Genomic DNA, 17,651 nt, shown 5'->3' on the forward strand with positions numbered 1-17,651 from the left:
TCAAGCAAAACCATATACCACAATAGATTGAATGCTGTTTAGGGAGACATTAAAGAGATTCGCAAGAAATGTAAAATTGTGATAGTCTTCTCACCAAGTTTATGTTTTTCATATGGCAAGCTTTTGTCGTTTATAAGAATTTTTTCAATTTTTAAGAGTGTGAATGACATGATATTCCTTTTGACTCCTGTTTTTGAAATAGCGTCCTCAATATTTTACTAAGGTGAAACACTAAGATAGTGAAAACCTTTATTCAAGGTTGTTTATGGGGAAAATATCTGTTAGAACTTCTCAAATGTGGTATCTATGTTTTGTTATTCGATAATAATTATTAAGTTATTGAAGCTTTCTTATAAATTTAAAAGTAGCTTTTAACTTGCAAAATCAGAATGCCCTGAAATAATTTCTTTTCTTGTAAGATTGACTGTTCAAGTACTATTATGCTGGACAATATTGTGAGGAAAGATACTAATATAGATCATGGCCAGCCAAGACCACCCTCAAACAGAACGGTCCAGTCACCAAATTCATCAGTGCCATCTCCAGGCCTTGCAGGTAAAGTGGGCTTCTTTTGATTTTTGTGAAAGTTTTTCTAGTTTTCACTTTACTTGGAATAAAAAATTACCCCTCTTCTCCTTTTTTGTTGAATGCTTAATCTGAGTTTTTCACTATTTAAAATTAGTATGCTTTCAGAGAAAACAAAGGTTAAATTTCTTTATCCTTTCTTTCTTTTGAGTCACAGTCTCGCTCTGTTGCCAGGCTAGAGTGCAGTGGTGCGATCATAGCTCACTGCAGACTCACTCCTGAGCTCAAGCGATCTCCCACCTCAGCCTCCTGAGTAGCTGGGACTGTAAGTATGCTGCTCTACCAAACGTGGCTAATATTTTTTGGTAGAGACAGTCTTGAACTTCTGGCCTTAAGCAATCCTTTCTGCCTTAGCCTCCCAAAGCTTTGGGATTACAGGCATGAGCCATCATACTAGGCCTTCTTTACCTTTTCAATTTCAACAGAACTTCTCACCATTATAGTACTTCCAGGGGGAAATTGGTGTTATATTCTTTCTTGTTGATAAGTTGCCTGTGATGTGGTCTTTAAGATGTAATTTGCCTAGGGTCAAAATGTATTAGTGACAATAAGTAGCAATCACTCTTCTGGTGATTTGTTTGGTGTTTAATTGTGTTTGTGAATCTTGACATACCTACTCATTTCCTCTGAGAGAAAAACGCTAATATTACTTCTGAGGACGTAGGTACCTTAAACCAAAATATGAAAAGAGAATTTAAGTCACTCAACAGTCACATGAACACAATTTAAATGGGGATGCCCGTTTTAAACAAACTTATGACAAAATATAGCAGAGAAACTGTTTATCATATGACAAGTTTATACAAATAAGGAACACATGTGGTATTGCCAAAGGACATGATAAGTAGATAATTCCCTAAAGAGGAAATACATTTATCCAATATAGCAGATGAGACAAAAATTCATTCTTACTAGTGGTCATAAGAAAAATCAAACAAGATAGAATTTCTAAGTTACTGAATTAGCTAAGACTTAAATAATAAAAATAGTCATTGAGAATGTGATGAGAGGTACTCTCATACATAGGTGGAAGGGGTATGAGTTGGCAAAACATTCCTGGAAACCATCATAGCAATATTACTAAAGTTTACATTTATCCAATATTGTACTGTGGGCAAAGTACCTTATATGTATTACCTAGTAGGATATTTGCTTCAAGGGGCTTGGAAAATGTATGTACCCTTGAACCTAGTAATTTCCATTTTAATATGCCAATTATAAGGAAATAATTAGGAACTGGATAGGCAGATCGTATTTATTAATATTTATATTACTATTAAGGCATTATTTGCAGTAGTTAAAATTTTGAAGCAGTGCCCAAATATGAGGATAAAAATAAATTAGAATGTGCTCACTTGTAAACAGATTATTTACCTATTCAGACAATGCTTATGTAGAGTTTTTAATGGCATGCTCATGGACTACTGTTTAGTGAAAACAAGTATACAGAACCATATAAAAGATGTAAAAGTATGTTTAAAACTGGAAAGAGATATATCAATCAACCTTAGCAGTGTTTATATATGGATGGAGAAGTTATGGGCTACTTAAATGTTATATATTTTTATAGTTTTCAACTATTCTAAAATGAAGCATGTATTCTTATATTATCAGGAGATTATAAATAGCCATTGTTTTGATTGATTTTGAGGCAGGGTCTCACTCTGTTGCCCAGGGTGTAGCAATCATGGTTCACTGCAGCCTCATACGCTTGGGCTCTAGTGATCCTCCTGCTTTAGCCTTCCCAGTAGTGGGGACTACAGGTAGGTGCCACCAGGCCTGGCTAATTTTTTTTTTTTTTTTTTTGGTTAGAGACGGGTCTTTGTTGTCCAGGCCTTTTATTTTTAAATTAAATTCTCCAGAGTTTACAAACCAATGAAATGATAATCTTCATTTTATCAGCCACATCCTGTTGTTCATCAAACCTTTTAGAACTTCTGTCAATTCGGAATTTTTTTTCTACTTCCCACTTTCATTGTATTCCTACTTGTTACTGTTTAGTTTGGGCCTTCATCAGTTCAAATCAATTATTTGCAACAGTTTTCCTTCTTTCTTGGCTGCTTTTAATTAGATCTTCCTTGTTCCAGTCTACACTACCACCAGAGCATAGCTTCTTAATCTTTTTAGGGCAGTAGTCCAGAATCCCTCTTTTGTTTATTGCCTTAAGTCTGAACCCATTGATCTTTCTGTGTCTTCCATTAGTTGGTTTAATTTTGTTTACTTGGTTTTCTTTTTTGAACTCCTTTTCTATCAGCCCGTACCACCTTTCGTTGTCTTCTGTAGCTTCCACTGGCACTAGGGTCTCACTGAGATCTTACCCCTGTTACTCTAACACAGAAAGACTTGGCAATGTTTGGAGATGTTTTTGATTGTCACACCCCAAGCTGGGAAGTATAGAGAGATGCCACTGGTATCTAATAATTGGTGGAGGCCAGGGATGTTGCTAAACATCCTGAAATGCAGAGACATTCCTCCACAACAAGGAATTATCTGGCCCAAAAGTCAATAGTGCAGAGGCTGAAAAACCCTGCCGGTGTAACAGGCTGTAACAGACTGCTGAAAATTCAGCAACTACTTACTGTTTCATAGAATTTCATCATGGTTCCCAGTTTCAATGTAGTGCTAAGTGAACACATTCAACAGGACTTCAATGCATAATTATTCATTCGTTTTATGAATGTATGGTTTCCCCCTCCTCAGGACCTGTTACTATGACTAGTGTACACCCCCCAATACGTTCACCTAGTGCCTCCAGCGTTGGAAGCCGAGGAAGGTAAACTGACTAAACCATATTTTCTAGTATATAAAAATCTCTAATTAGATTTCTTTTGCCAGTGTTCAACATGTTTTGATACTCAATATATTTTGAACAATTTCCTTTATTTTTAATTAAAATTTTAATAACTACTATATATTTTAATGAATTAGTTAAGGGATTAACAAAAGTACAAATTTACCTTTGAAGATAGAAGAATATTTGTCAATATGTTGAAAATAAGAAATGTTGGATATTCATATAATAGCAAAGAAAACATAAAAATGAATAGGCATAACACAGTACACTATATAGAAACACAAATTTAGAGAAAAGATAAAATTTTATGCTAATTTGATCTCTAATGACTAAATGTTGATTCTACTTTAAAATAAATATACAGTTATTGAAATTCTATATTTTAAGCAACTGCTCTCCTCTTCCCTGCATTATGCCTGAAAATTCCTCCTAGCTAGTGAACCCAGTTCTTACTTTATCATATGGAAGAATTGTCTGAGGGAGAAAAGTTTGCCTTTAATCCCATGAGAACATAGTGAATCTCTGTAAAAGCTTTTTGACCCACTACCTTCTTTAAATAGTATTGTGTAAATACATGATTATTTCATTGTCTTCACCAAAGTATTCACTTTGCTACTGACTAGAGAAGGAAATGAGAAAGCCTAAAATCAGATGCCAGTTCTAAGATACTAAATCTGGTTGCCTAATTGTAAAGCCTCAGGTTTTTAAAAGTTTAGGTTTATTGAAACATCTTTCTAGATATATAACTATTTAGATAGGTTAATATGTAAAACATTTTTATCATAAATGAAACTTGCATACACCAGTTTCATTTGTTATGCATCATTAATTGCTGATGTTAACATACTTATTGTTGTGAAGATACAGTATTTTAGAAAGTTGTTGTTATACTTTTTATGAGGTATTTAGCTTAACATTCTTAGATTGCTTTTTCTTCTCTCTCATACTTACAGCTCTGGCTCTTCCAGCAAACCAGCAGGAGCTGACTCTACACACAAAGTCCCAGTGGTCATGCTGGAGCCAATTCGAATAAAACAAGAAAACAGTGGACCACCGGAAAATTATGATTTCCCTGTTGTTATAGTGAAGCAAGAATCAGATGAAGAATCTAGGCCTCAAAATGTAATTATGAATGCTTGCAATGCTATTCCTATGCATGGTGGGTAGGGTGAGAGAATCTTTTAAATAGCTCTTAGGAGTTTTTTTTTAATGTTATATTTAAAAGGATTTAAAGACAATTTGAGGGAATCTCTCAGTAAATTAAACAAAAAGACAAAGATGGAAAAACAGGAAAGTTTTTAAAAATCAGAGGCTCAGATATGGAGGCTGGGCAGTTAAAAGGAGATATTCTTTCTTTAATCAGAGTTTTATACCCAGGCAAATTATCAATCAGATTGACTTGAAGATTAACTAAACATTTTCGTGCAAGTTCTCAAAATAATTCTTATGTACTCATTCTCAGGAAGATACTTGATAATATGAATCATCAAAAATATAGTAAAACAAGAAAGAAGACATAAGATTCCAAAAATGGAATCTGACACAGAAGAAAAAGGCAACCCCCAGTACAGCAGCAGCAGCAGCTTGTGCAGTAGTCTGTAGCAGGAAGACATAGGACTCCCAAGGGAGAAAAATGCTTCAACAGTATTGAGAATCTCCTGTTGGAGATTGTGAGAATAACATAGAAATAGGTACCTAGAAAGATAAGCAACTGAAAATATAAGGTAATTACAGAGTCTTAGTAAAAACAAAAAGTTGTACAAAAAATGTCTTAGTACATTTTGTGGGTCTGCAGTGAACAATATTTAAATAATAATAATAATGATGTAAACAAACACCTGAGTACGAATGTAACTAAAAACTGTGATGCAATCAGGATATAACCTGAATATGCACTTAACCAAAAATTGTGATTTTCAGAATACTTAACCAGTACAAGACAAATACTGATCAGTTAGAATAGATACTGGCAATAAACAGTTATACCAGTACCTACCAACTAAAACAATCAATGCTTAATCAAAACTAAGTTAAAGGGATGGGGTGAATGGTGGTGGTGGTGGTTTTGTGTGTGTGTGTGTGTGTGTGTGTGTGTGTGCGCGCACGCACGAATGGAAGCAGGACGGGGTTGGAGAATCAGAATGTAAAAACCTAATCTCCTGATCTTCACTAGTAAGGATTATAGATGTATTGCAATTTTTAACAATCATTTTATTTAGAAATATGGAGGTAAACAGCAGAAGAAAAAGCTAGGTTTGAAAATAGTTCTTCCAAGGAATAAGTGCTTTTAACTATATCTACATTTATTACTTTGAAATTTTTGAAAACATTTGAAGGAGATTGTTTTTGTTATTGATTTGAAATTTTCACCATCCTGGGCTTCAACAGAAAGTTTAGATTCATCTTATAATTTTTGTATCTTAGGTATAATTTGAATGAACAGCTCCAGTGAGGTATATATATATATATATAGGTCATGTGGTTGACTTCCACTCTACCCAACCCATTCTCTAATTTCTGTAGCCATCCCCAGACTTAGATTTTTTCTCTATTTATTTTGGTATTTTTTAGTAGAGGTTCATGTCTTCTAAGCCAGTTAGCAATAAACATATACCCTTCTCCTGAAGATTCCTTTGAAGCAGCCAGGTGCTCACCAGAGAGTGGTCTACAGTTCAGAATTGCATTAGTGATAAAATTTTTTTTAAAGCCAGTTAAATATATTTTTTTTCTACTACAGGCCAATTATCCAAGAAGCATACTCACCTCCCTGCTCTTAAATAGCAGTCAGAGCTCTACTTCTGAGGAGACTGTGCTAAGATCAGATGCCCCTGATAGTACAGGAGATCAACCTGGACTTCACCAGGACAATTCCTCAAATGGAAAGTCTGAATGGTTGGATCCTTCCCAGAAGTCACCTCTTCATGTTGGAGAGACAAGGAAAGAGGATGACCCCAATGAGGACTGGTGTGCAGTTTGTCAAAACGGAGGGGAACTCCTCTGCTGTGAAAAGTGCCCCAAAGTATTCCATCTTTCTTGTCATGTGCCCACATTGACAAATTTTCCAAGGTAAGATAGTACTTCCCTTCCCACATTCTTTTACTGTAAACTTTTGAAGATTATTTTAACAGAAAGCCTTTGAAAAAACTTAAATGAAATTCCACTTGGCACAAGTGTATACTCCAAAATCCCAATGAATAGTCTAGGTTTTCCCATACCCTTCCGCTTATTCTTTGTGCTTCTTTCAAAAAACTAATCATTCAGCCTGAGCAACACAGGGAGACCCTGTCTGTCTGTACAAAATAAAAAATTAGCCGGGTATGGTAGTGCATGCCTGTAGTCCCAGCTACTCAGGAGGCTGAGGTGGGAGGATTGGTTGAGCCTGAGAGGTCAAGGCTGCAGTAAGCTGTGCTTGCACCACTGCACCCCAGACTGGGCAACAGAGCAAGACCCTCTCCCTAGTCATTACAAAAAGAAAAAAAAATAACAGGCCCTTTAAATTATCACAAGGGATCATCATAAGGAACAATGTCCCTATGCATAACAGCTACCACAGTTTATTATGTCTTTTTGCCAGGCATCGAACTGTATCTTTTACAAGTATTTCAAGTAAATTCTCATACCCTATGGGGATGATGATCATCATCATGACCAAGATGGTTAAGAGCCATTGGGTTGATCTCTCAGTTCTTGGAAGGCCATACTTTTGAAAATTTAATTTTATAAACTTAAGAGTAACAAGAATAGTACAAAGAGCTTTTCTAGTTCCTGAATCCTTTGGAGGAAAAAAATTCAATTATGCCCTAGATATGTGAGCCCTAGATTAAATTTGTTTAGGTGTTTCTTTTTTTTCAATATATGTATCTCACACCTTCTTAACTAGATTTTGATGTTTGTTAGGCCCTTGCATTATATTTCTGCTGTTTCCTCTCAGCATGGTGCAGTATACCTAGTGGTATGTGGTAAATGCTCAGTGATTAAAATTCATGCCAAATGAACAATTCTGTATCATAGATGTCATGGAGGAGGTGGGAAAGGGAAATAGTGAAGAGAGGAAATGATGCATTAGGAATTCAAAAGTACATTGTCCCCTAACAGTGGAGAGTGGATTTGCACTTTCTGCCGAGACTTATCTAAACCAGAAGTTGAATATGATTGTGATGCTCCCAGTCACAACTCAGAAAAAAAGAAAACTGAAGGCCTTGTTAAGTTAACACCTATAGATAAAAGGGTAAGTCTTTGGTAAGATGCATTATTGTATTGTAGTGCAATATTGTACTGTGGTACCTTTTGTCAAAGAGGTGTATATCCATCCAGATTTTATACTGATCCTTTTTATTTAAGAGTATTTTTTTTTGTTTACAAAGGTACATGAATCTTAAAGACTGTAACTTTCTTTAAATTAAAAAAATCACAGAATTAATGCATGTATTTTATAGAAGCTTATTGTACCTGAACAAGATGGAATATGTACCCTAGACTTTTAATCTACCTTAAGTAAATTTCTATTTTGTTTTATTTCCTACTATAGATAAGATTTTTCCTTAGAACTGCCACCAAGGAGCTGGGTTTTTTCTTTACTCTTCCTGGAAATAATTCCTTTTTTTTCACTGAATGGGACTAGACTTATGCATCAAAGCCAACTGATATATTTAACTGTAAATAACATTTAAAGCTACCAAGTCAACACTTTGTTACCAAAAAAACTCCTTTGCTAAATTATTAAGTAGAACAGTCAATATGAAAGTTGTCATGCAAGAGGGGACGTGCCCATTCACTGCCAGTACTACTCAGTGGTTACTGGGATAAACCCATAAAGCAGGGAAGTATATGAATAGCAGAGCACATGGTTGGACCTTCGGCATGCAGAAAGGTGCCTTAGGTCTGGATGCATATTGAGAAGGTCCACCTCCAGTTCTCCTAAGAGACGTACGTTCTTCCTTTATAGACTATTACTAATTTATAATACACAGACTGGAGCAATAAGTGCAAATTTATTGTTAGAAAACTTCAAATGGTTTTCTAGTGATTGTCTTAGTTCATTCAATTACAGGGCCTGTTCCCAAATATTGGGAAGGAGAGCAAAACTCCGAGAATCAGTAATTTTTTTGTATTCATCTGGGTTTTAATTTTTAGTCTGACACTTTGGGACCTCTGAGATTGTTATTTAAAATAAGCTGTGAATTCATTGTTTTATAATATTTTATCTCAGTTTTTATTTATTTTTGCTTAGAAGTGTGAGCGCCTACTTTTATTTCTTTACTGCCATGAAATGAGCCTGGCTTTTCAAGACCCTGTTCCTCTAACTGTAAGTATTAATGTCATTTTCTGCATGTTTACACAGTGGAATGCTTTTCTGGAATTTTATGAGAATCTAGCTTATATTACCATTTTTCAGTACTTTTTAATATCTAAACCTTAAATCTTAATAATACATACTGAATGCTTTGATCCTATGTAGGTACATTTTAGTAAGTGGCCCAAAACTTCTGTTCATTTCTCAGGTATTCTTTCTTCTTTCTTTTCTCATCTATTTTACTTACCACTGGGATGTTTAGGGTGATTTCTGTTAATTTTCTGTATTTCAGGAGTTTTAGGCATGTTTCCGAAGCTGTTGGAAAAAAAACTTTGAAATAAAGACATCTCTCCCTGCTACATTTTCCGTACTTATTTTTCTTTATAGGTCCAGACTTCAAGTAAATAAGTAGACGTTACCAATACAAAAAAAGTTGAGGAAGTATGTGCGCAGGTGCTATTGACTTCAGAAAGGTTCATATTGAAAGTTTGATGTGACTGTGGCCGGGCGCGGTGGCTCACGCCTATAATCCCAGCACTTTGGGAGGCCGAGGCGGGCGGATCACGAGGTCAGGAGATAGAGACCATCCTGGCTAACACGGTGAAACCCCGTCTCTACTAAAAATACAAAAAATTAGCCAGGTGTGGTGGCAGGCGCCTGTAGTCCCAGCTACTCGGGAGGCTGAGGCAGGAGAGTGGCGTGAACCTGGGAGGCGGAGCTTGCAGTGAGCCGAGATCATGCCACTGCACTCCAGCCTGGGCAAAAGAGCAAGACTCCGTCTCAAAAAAAAAAAAAAAAAAGTTTGATGTGACTTTAACGCATAATTTTAGAGTGCTGGAAAGGGCCTGGTACCCCAAAAGAGTATTCTTCTAATGTCTGAACCCCGGAGGCGGAGGTTGCAGTGAGCCGAGATTGCGCCATTGCTCTCCAGCCTGGGCAACAAGAGCAAAACTCTGTCCCAAAAAAAAAATTTTTTTTCATTTGTTCTACAGTTTGATAAATCTCAAATTAATACAAAGTTGAGAAGAAAATCAGCTTAGTAAATACAGTCAGCTTCTCTCTTAAGAACAGGTTTTGAGAACTTGATATAGGAAATAAATACCTCCAGGGAGAAGGGTCTTTTGTACCCAAAAGAGGCAGGGTAAAGAAGTCGAGAGGCTTGTAACAACATTACCAACTTGAAAATGTAACCTTGAATTGTACTTTTTATTATCCTGGCTTACAGTTACGTTATTAATACCAACAATGACAAAGTAGCCCCCTTTTTCTTAATAAATATCATCTCATTTAGTCTGTACAAAATGCTGTGAGTTTGGCAGGATTATCCCTATTTGAAATATGAAGAAACTGAGGTTAAGTAGCTTACCCAGGACCATGACACTGAGCAGCAGAGCTGGGGATTAAACCCAGATTCAAAGTCCTTCTTCCTCTTGTATAATACATGCAGCAAAAACATGTCAGATTCTACTAGAAATGATATTCTTCCTAGTAATTGCTTTTTGTTTAATAATGAAGAAAAAAATCTAGATGATTAAGAGGAAATATGTGAAGACAAGTTTTTTCATTAAAAATAATTGGGGCTGGGTGCAGTGGCTCACGCCTGTAATCCCAACATTTTGGGAGGCTGAGGCAGGCAGATTGCTTGAACCCAGGAGTTTGAGACCAGCCTGGGCAACATGGCAAAACCCCATCTCTACAAAAAATACAAAAATTAGCCGGCTATGTTAGCGCATGCCTGTAACCCCAGCTACGCGAGAGGCTGAGGTGAGAGGATCACTTAAGCCCAGGAGGCAAAGTTTGCAGTGAGCCGAGATTGTGTCACTGCACTCCAGCCTGGGTGACAGAGCAAGACCCTGTCTCAAAAATAATAATTGGTTAAACTTTTGGAAAAAGTCACACAAACCTTTACCAGTGTGTGTGGAAGGCAGTGGGCACTTGTAAACACTGTTAAATGGGTTTCTTTACTAATGGCAAATAGCACAGAGAAAAGCAATGAGAACATTCTGAATTTTAGAGCACATCTCATAGAATATATTTAGGACAAGGTGGAATTTAGCTATTTGTATTATAACATCTCATTTTTTTAATAGGTGCCTGATTATTACAAAATAATTAAAAATCCAATGGATTTGTCAACCATCAAGAAAAGACTACAAGAAGATTATTCCATGTACTCAAAACCTGAAGATTTTGTAGCTGATTTTAGATTGATCTTTCAAAACTGTGCTGAATTCAATGAGGTGAGGCTAGGGGAGGGAAGGGGGCAGGAAGGAACAGCAGTGTGAAAATCATTTTATTACTAAACACCTTGTCAACATAGGAGACCAAGATGTCTGAGTTAGAATAAATTTCCAACTTTTCAGATCAGGGAATGCAAGAGATAATTCAGATAACTCTGTCCACATTTATATTCAAAGGTTTATTAGATGGTGATGGAAATGCAAATTACAGCTGATAACTGAAAGACAAAATGTTTTTCTCTGACCTAGACATATTCTTTATCATTCCCACCTGTATTTCTTATTTTTATGTTGATCTTGAAATATTAAGGATGTGGGCCAAATAGCTCTAATTTAAAAATTTCTCATCTGTCAGTTCATCTACACATCAGTCAGACTTAGAACCTTTTGCTGCTGGTGGTTTGTTCTCTGTTACTCATTCTAATAGTACTACATTTAATTTGTTCTAAAAATACCTGGTTCATGATCCTATGGTTATGGAATCCTAACTGATATGTGTTTGGCAATATAGTCCTACCATTACCACCTTCTTTTAGAATAATCCAGGCTTTTACTTTTATCTTTTTTCCACACTTCTGAATCTTTTATTTTAGCTGGCCTTCTGTACAGAGACTTTGTCTAGTCCTAAACTATTATTTCAATGACTATGCATGAACACTTTTCAAAACAGCTCATTAATATATATAATCTCAGAAGTCAAAAGTGTGTCCTTTTTTTACTCATTTTTATTTTTACTCCACAGCCTGATTCAGAAGTAGCCAATGCTGGTATAAAACTTGAAAATTATTTTGAAGAACTTCTAAAGAACCTCTATCCAGAAAAAAGGTTTCCCAAACCAGAATTCAGGAATGAATCAGAAGATAATAAATTTAGTGATGATTCAGATGATGACTTTGTACAGCCCCGGAAGAAACGCCTCAAAAGCATTGAAGAACGCCAGTTGCTTAAATAATATGCAGCACCACTAGCTTGTGCTGGTTTTTAGATTTTTTTGTTTTCAAAAAAACATTTGTCAGTAATTTAACATCACTACAAAAAGAAGAGTTTGTGACTATTCTCATCTCTGTTTTGGACGTTTACTAGACTTTGATTTCCTTAATAGCCCATTTCTGTTAACCTCTTATCACTAAGAAAGAAAGGAAAGAAGGAGATGAATAGAAGAAAGAAAATGGAAAGAAGGAAAAAAGGAGGATAGAAAAAGGATGGAAGAAAGAAGCATTGAAAACAAAGACATTCTTCCCACTTCTTGGATTTTTAAACCACAGTCTGGAGTGATAGCTACTGTAGAAAGGAAATAGACTTTGTATGAACTCTTTAAGTTGAAAAGTAAAAAATATATGTGGTTTGGATGTGTGCTTTAATTCAGCTTTAGAAATTAATACCACTACCCGTGAATTATATGGCCTGACAATATGAATTAGGTGTACTGTACTGAAGAACAGTACTCCACAAACATGGGTGGTAACAAGAGTTCCATCCCAGGAGGCCAAACGGTGCAACAGAAGGGTAGGTTAGATGCTATTAAGAAGGCACTTAATAGTACATCATGTAAGATGGCAACTGTATTAAAGAAAAATCCGGAAAACAAATGTTTGATTTTTGTTTTTGTTTTTATCTTGTCTGTAGAGGTATTTTGGTATAGCAGGTTTTCAAGGCCATTTTTTATACATTTCTAGATCTAGATTTTCAACTTCTTCCACTGAGGGAAGTATATACATTTGGGTTTGCTGTGTGTCTATGTGAGGTTTAATTGTACAGGTGATCCTTTTACAACAAGCCTCATTGTTTGCAGTATAGCTTTTAGTGGAACTACCCAAAATATAAATACAGCAGCGTGCACTGTATTTGATGTGAGGGTTCTTCATCATATACCCTACTGGGCATTAAATATAAGTTCCTCTGAAAGGGACTCGTTTTTGTGGTTTTCATCTGTCTATAATTTGGAATGAAAATGTGTTGTAGGATTTTGGGAGCAGGCAGCTGGGGGGAATTAATAGTGATTTTTTTTTTTTCCTGAAGCATCTATCTCATGTTTTTCTTTTGAGAGTCAGAACATCAAACTTAATCTTTGATCTGACTTCTGATTTTATTCTTCTGATTGATTGATAGAGGTACAAAAGACTTATCTTCTGAGGACAAGCATATTCTTAATGTGCCAGACCTACCCGGTTCAGCTGATATAGATAGATAGATAGATAGAAGAAAATTGCTGTGCCATACATTAATCCAGCATTTGACACAATATCTAAATGGTTTGCCGAAGTTAATCTGTATTTATAAAACATTAACTGGAGTAAATTTTTCTCCTTAGGATGATAGAATAAAAAGAGCTCACTTGAAAGAAGGCTATTATTTGCATTATATCACCTGCCATAAATTTAACATAGAAGACTTGGTTTTATCTACATGGCTTTACTTCTTAAAGTGGAAAATATCCTGTGGCTAATTCATTGGGTTTTCAGGTACTGCTAAAGATAAAATACAGGGAGAAAATAACTTGTTAGCAATAGATCCCCATTGTTTATATATATAGGTCTTGTTCATAATATGTCAATTATGTATTGTTAAAAAGTCCTACTCACTTTTCAAATATGTGTTACATGGTAATGTTTGTCATTGTTGTTTTAAAGTTGCATTTGACATTTGTTCTCCAAAGAGTGTTTGAACAGATTTTGATAACAGTGCATACACCTTTTGTCTTTTTTTGCTCCAGCATTTTATTTTTAGCACAGCAGCTGTGGAGCTTTTGCTGATAATTTTATTGTTGGTATCTTAGAATACTGTTCGTCTGACAGTTTATTCTTCCATACTTGTCTCCCAAGTTAAAACAGAGCAAAACAGATAAATTATTTTGAGAATCATCACAAAAGGGAGTTAGAACTTGTGAGACTAAAACTATAATTTCCTAAATGTGACTAATGAACCCCAAACTGTCACTATTACATTCAGTGCCATATTTATCTTTCAAAACAGTATTTGTTTCACCCTAACCATCTTTGGCTGAATGAAAGGCAGTTGAGAACCATCTTTTGGTCATACATAATATAATTATATTAAAAGTAAAGATCGGGGCTGGGCGCAGTGGCTCACACCTGCAATCCCACCAGCACTTTGGGAGGCCAAGGTGGGCGGATCACAAAGTCAAGAGTTCGAGATCAGCCTGGCCAACATTGTGAAACCCCGCCTCTACAAAAAATACAAAAATTAGCCGGACATGGTGGCGTGCAACTGTAATCCCAACTACTCAGGAGGCTGAGACAGGAGAATCACTTGAACGCAGGAGGCAGAAGTTGCAGTGAGCCAAGATCTCACCATTGCACTCCAGCCTGAGTGACAGAGACTCAGTCTCAAAAACAAAAAGTAAAGGTCTTGGGTTTCTCTCTGTAAATAGCCTTTGTGTAATGGTCTTTAGATTAATATCCTTTGACTTTATTAATAAGTACCTGTGTGCCCAGGTGGATCTCAGCTAAGTCATCCTTAAATTCTGTTCAAATAGAAATAAACCATAAAATGAGCCTAACTATAACCCACACTCACTTATCAAGCATTCCCCCAAAAGTTCAGTGCGATTCAGGTAACCTTGACCTAAACTTGTACACTCCGGTGTACATCTTTGACCATAAACTCTGGGAGATTTCCCTCTGGATTTGGGATCAGGAGCCCAGTAGGGCCCCATTGCTGAATGTTTATCACACTTCTGGCTAGGGCTTATGGATGAGCAGACCACGTAGGAGCTAGGATTTACTCAGTTCCACCTCACTGACAGCTTTTCTAGGTGCCAAGCAACTGACTTTTCCTGTGTAAGGAAGCCCAAGTACTTGACCAGTGATATATATGGCCATGGCAAAAGTATAAATGGATGGATGTAGACCATATTCAACGCAGAATACATTTTAGATCGGTATCTGGCATTGTAATCATTTTGTCTTTTGAATTAACATGCCCTGCTTGTCTTTTCTGAATGGAAGGGTAGGAAAGTGGAAGGTACTAAAAAGGAAAATGTAGTTTTAGTTTCTTTTCTAAGCTAAAGAACTGGCTTTACTACTGCTATATTTTACTACCACATAGTAGTGTAGATGTAGTATAACTTGCTTAGGAATGCTTTCAAAAAGGTTACCTCCATAGTCAAAAAAAGGGGGAGTATACAGCTGATTGTTGCATTTATGAAACTGCATTTCAATATGCTATGCTGTTACTGTGCTTAGACACTTCCTTACGTTTGAGTTCCAAGGAGAGAGAGTGAGAAGAGGAACTCCTTTTGCTGAGCTCTGGTCCAAATTAATGTGAATCCCCAAAGTAAATTGCTGCATATGAACAACAGGTTTTAGGTTTAAATTGAAGATACATTCATTTTATATGTATTTGTTGTGAATGAGAGAAATTGAGTGATCTGATTGGCCATTAAAATTATGGTGAATGGGTCGGGCGCAGTGGCTCACGCCTGTAATCCCAGCACTTTGGGAGGCCGAGGTGGGTAGATACCTGAGGTCAGGAGTTTGAGACCAGCCTGACCAACATGGTGAAACCCCATCTCTACTAAAAATACCAAAATCACCAGGGTGTGGTGGCCCATGCCTGTAATCCTAGCTACTCGGGAGGCTGAGGCAGGAGAATCGGCTTGAACCCAGGAGGCAGAGGTTGCAGTGAGCTGAGATCGCACCACTGTAGTCCAGCCTGGGTGTCAGAGCAAGACTCTGTCACAAAAAGAAAAATTATGGGGAATGGCCGGGCGCGGTGGCTCACACCTGTAATCCCAGCACTTTGGGAGGCCGAGGTGGGTGGATCACCTGAAGTCAGGAGCTCAAGACCAGCCTGGCCAACATGGTGAAACCCCACCTCAACAGAATATACAAAAAAATTAGCTGGGTGTGGTGGCGGGTGCCTGTAATCTCAGCTACTTTGGGATGCTGAGGCAGGAGAATAGCTTGAACCCAGGAGGTGGAGGTTGCAGTGAGTCGAGATTGCACCATTGCACTCCAGCCTGGGCAACAAGAGCAAAACTCTGTCTCAAAAAAAAAAAAAAATGGTGACCATGCGTTCAACCATATAATTTCTTACTGAAATTGAGCTCCTCCTTTTGAATAACCATGTACATATTTTTAAAAGTATTTTATAGCCCTATGTAAATTAATAGTTGATGTCTTTTTATAAATGTTTATTGCATATTCATCTTGAATGTGAATTTACTGTTGTAATTCACATACTGGTGTCATGTTTCTGAGTGAGAATAATGCTAGTCAGTCAGATCACAGATTTTTCTCCATGAAGGTTTTACTTATTGAGAGGGACATCTGAGGCAGTAGTCTTCGTCTTTAATTTTTGGGGGCAGATTGGTGCTTTGGTTTTAATAAAAACTAACTTTGATGGATTTTTACTGTCAATATTTTACCACAAGGATTTTTTAATAGAAAAATTACTGAATGTTACTTCAGCAGAGTTCTATCTACTTTGAGTCTCCATTACTACTACTGTTGTTCCCCTAGCTGTAACATTGATCCATATAGGGGCAAGCTACTAGTCCATAAATAGCTGTAATAGGAAAACAGTTTTTTAAAATTCTAACACGTGTATTTCACCAGCCTTAAAAGATTTAAAAAAAAATCTGACAGGAAGGAAAGCGGGTGGTAAGTATCTTGGATTATTCTGCCTCATACCAGCCACTCCCAAAGTAGGAGGACCAAAGATGCCATGAAGACTTCTAGTTGTCTGGAAGTTATTTGGGGAAGGGGGGAAAGACACAGAGTGGGGACCTTTGGAAGTCATTTTAAAAATTTAGCTATGTTAATTCCACTTGTAAAGTTTGAAAGGTTTTGATTCTTGTAATTTCTGAGAATTACTATGTTTTAAATTTACTATTGGATATTTAACAGATCTTTCATGGGGCCAACCTATTTGCTTCCTTAATTTTCAAATTAAGTCCTAATTTGAGTCCTAAAAAAATCTTTCCTTGTTAGTTGCAAGTTAAACATTTAATAAAATTATTTTCCCACGTTTTCACATGTGGTATGGAATAAAGGCTGTTTTAACATTCCCTGCGAGATACTTGGGAAGGTGGATTCTTTGCCTATGTACTAATGCCTTTAACCCCAAGACAACTGAACCAGAAAAAAGTCAGTCAGGAATCTTTCCATTGCAAATGACTGAATGCCAGTTGCCATTGCTTTGGGGGAGAGGATAGAATATACAGATCAACCAGAGTTAAGCCCTCCTCACCTTTTAAATGAAAATGTACTGACCTGAGAAGTGGCATTTCTCCAAGGGAAAATCAGGGTGTTCTCTTTTTTTTTTTTTTTTTTTAGGCAGGTCTCCCTCTGTCATCCAGGCGGAAGTGCAGTGGCACCATCATGGCTCATTGCAGCCTCCATCTCCTGGGTTTTAGCAATCCTCCTGCCTCAGCCTTCCAAAGTGCTGGGATTACAGGCATGAGCCACCACATTCAGCCCAGGGTGTTCTTAACAAGAAGGAACAACAAACTAGGCAACCAAGTGCCAAACTTTGATGGTGATGCTGGTTATCTGACTGCTCCTTTTAGGGATTCACTAATGAGGTTGTATGTTAAGAAAACCCGAGGTACAAACAGTCCAAAATAAATATTTTGGCATTCATATTATAATAGTAGTTTTTGCAAAATCTCAGGCCAATATCCCTAATGAACATCAATGCGAAAATCCTCAAGTGAAACACTGGCAAACCGAGTGCAGCAGCACATCAAAAAGCTTATCCACTACGATCAAGTTGG

The 17,651-nt window shown here is 36.8% G+C and overlaps 1 protein-coding gene across 3 annotated transcripts in view; it reads left to right on the forward strand.

The window, feature by feature from the left end:
• Positions 1 to 16,909, forward strand: part of TRIM24 (tripartite motif containing 24) — a 129,738-nt gene extending 112,829 nt beyond the window's left edge. For all 3 annotated transcript variants that reach the window (NM_015905.3, NM_003852.4, XM_024446981.2), the window contains exons 12-19: positions 420 to 555; positions 3,286 to 3,358; positions 4,333 to 4,501; positions 6,117 to 6,445; positions 7,475 to 7,607; positions 8,610 to 8,684; positions 10,763 to 10,912; positions 11,655 to 16,909. In NM_015905.3, coding sequence (NP_056989.2) covers positions 420 to 555; positions 3,286 to 3,358; positions 4,333 to 4,501; positions 6,117 to 6,445; positions 7,475 to 7,607; positions 8,610 to 8,684; positions 10,763 to 10,912; positions 11,655 to 11,864 — 1,275 coding nt within the window. In that variant the 3' untranslated portion in view covers positions 11,865 to 16,909. The remainder of the gene's footprint in view (positions 1 to 419; positions 556 to 3,285; positions 3,359 to 4,332; positions 4,502 to 6,116; positions 6,446 to 7,474; positions 7,608 to 8,609; positions 8,685 to 10,762; positions 10,913 to 11,654) is intronic.

Source organism: Homo sapiens, chromosome 7 (assembly GCF_000001405.40).
Source record: "Homo sapiens chromosome 7, GRCh38.p14 Primary Assembly".
Classification (NCBI taxonomy): domain Eukaryota; kingdom Metazoa; phylum Chordata; class Mammalia; order Primates; family Hominidae; genus Homo; species Homo sapiens.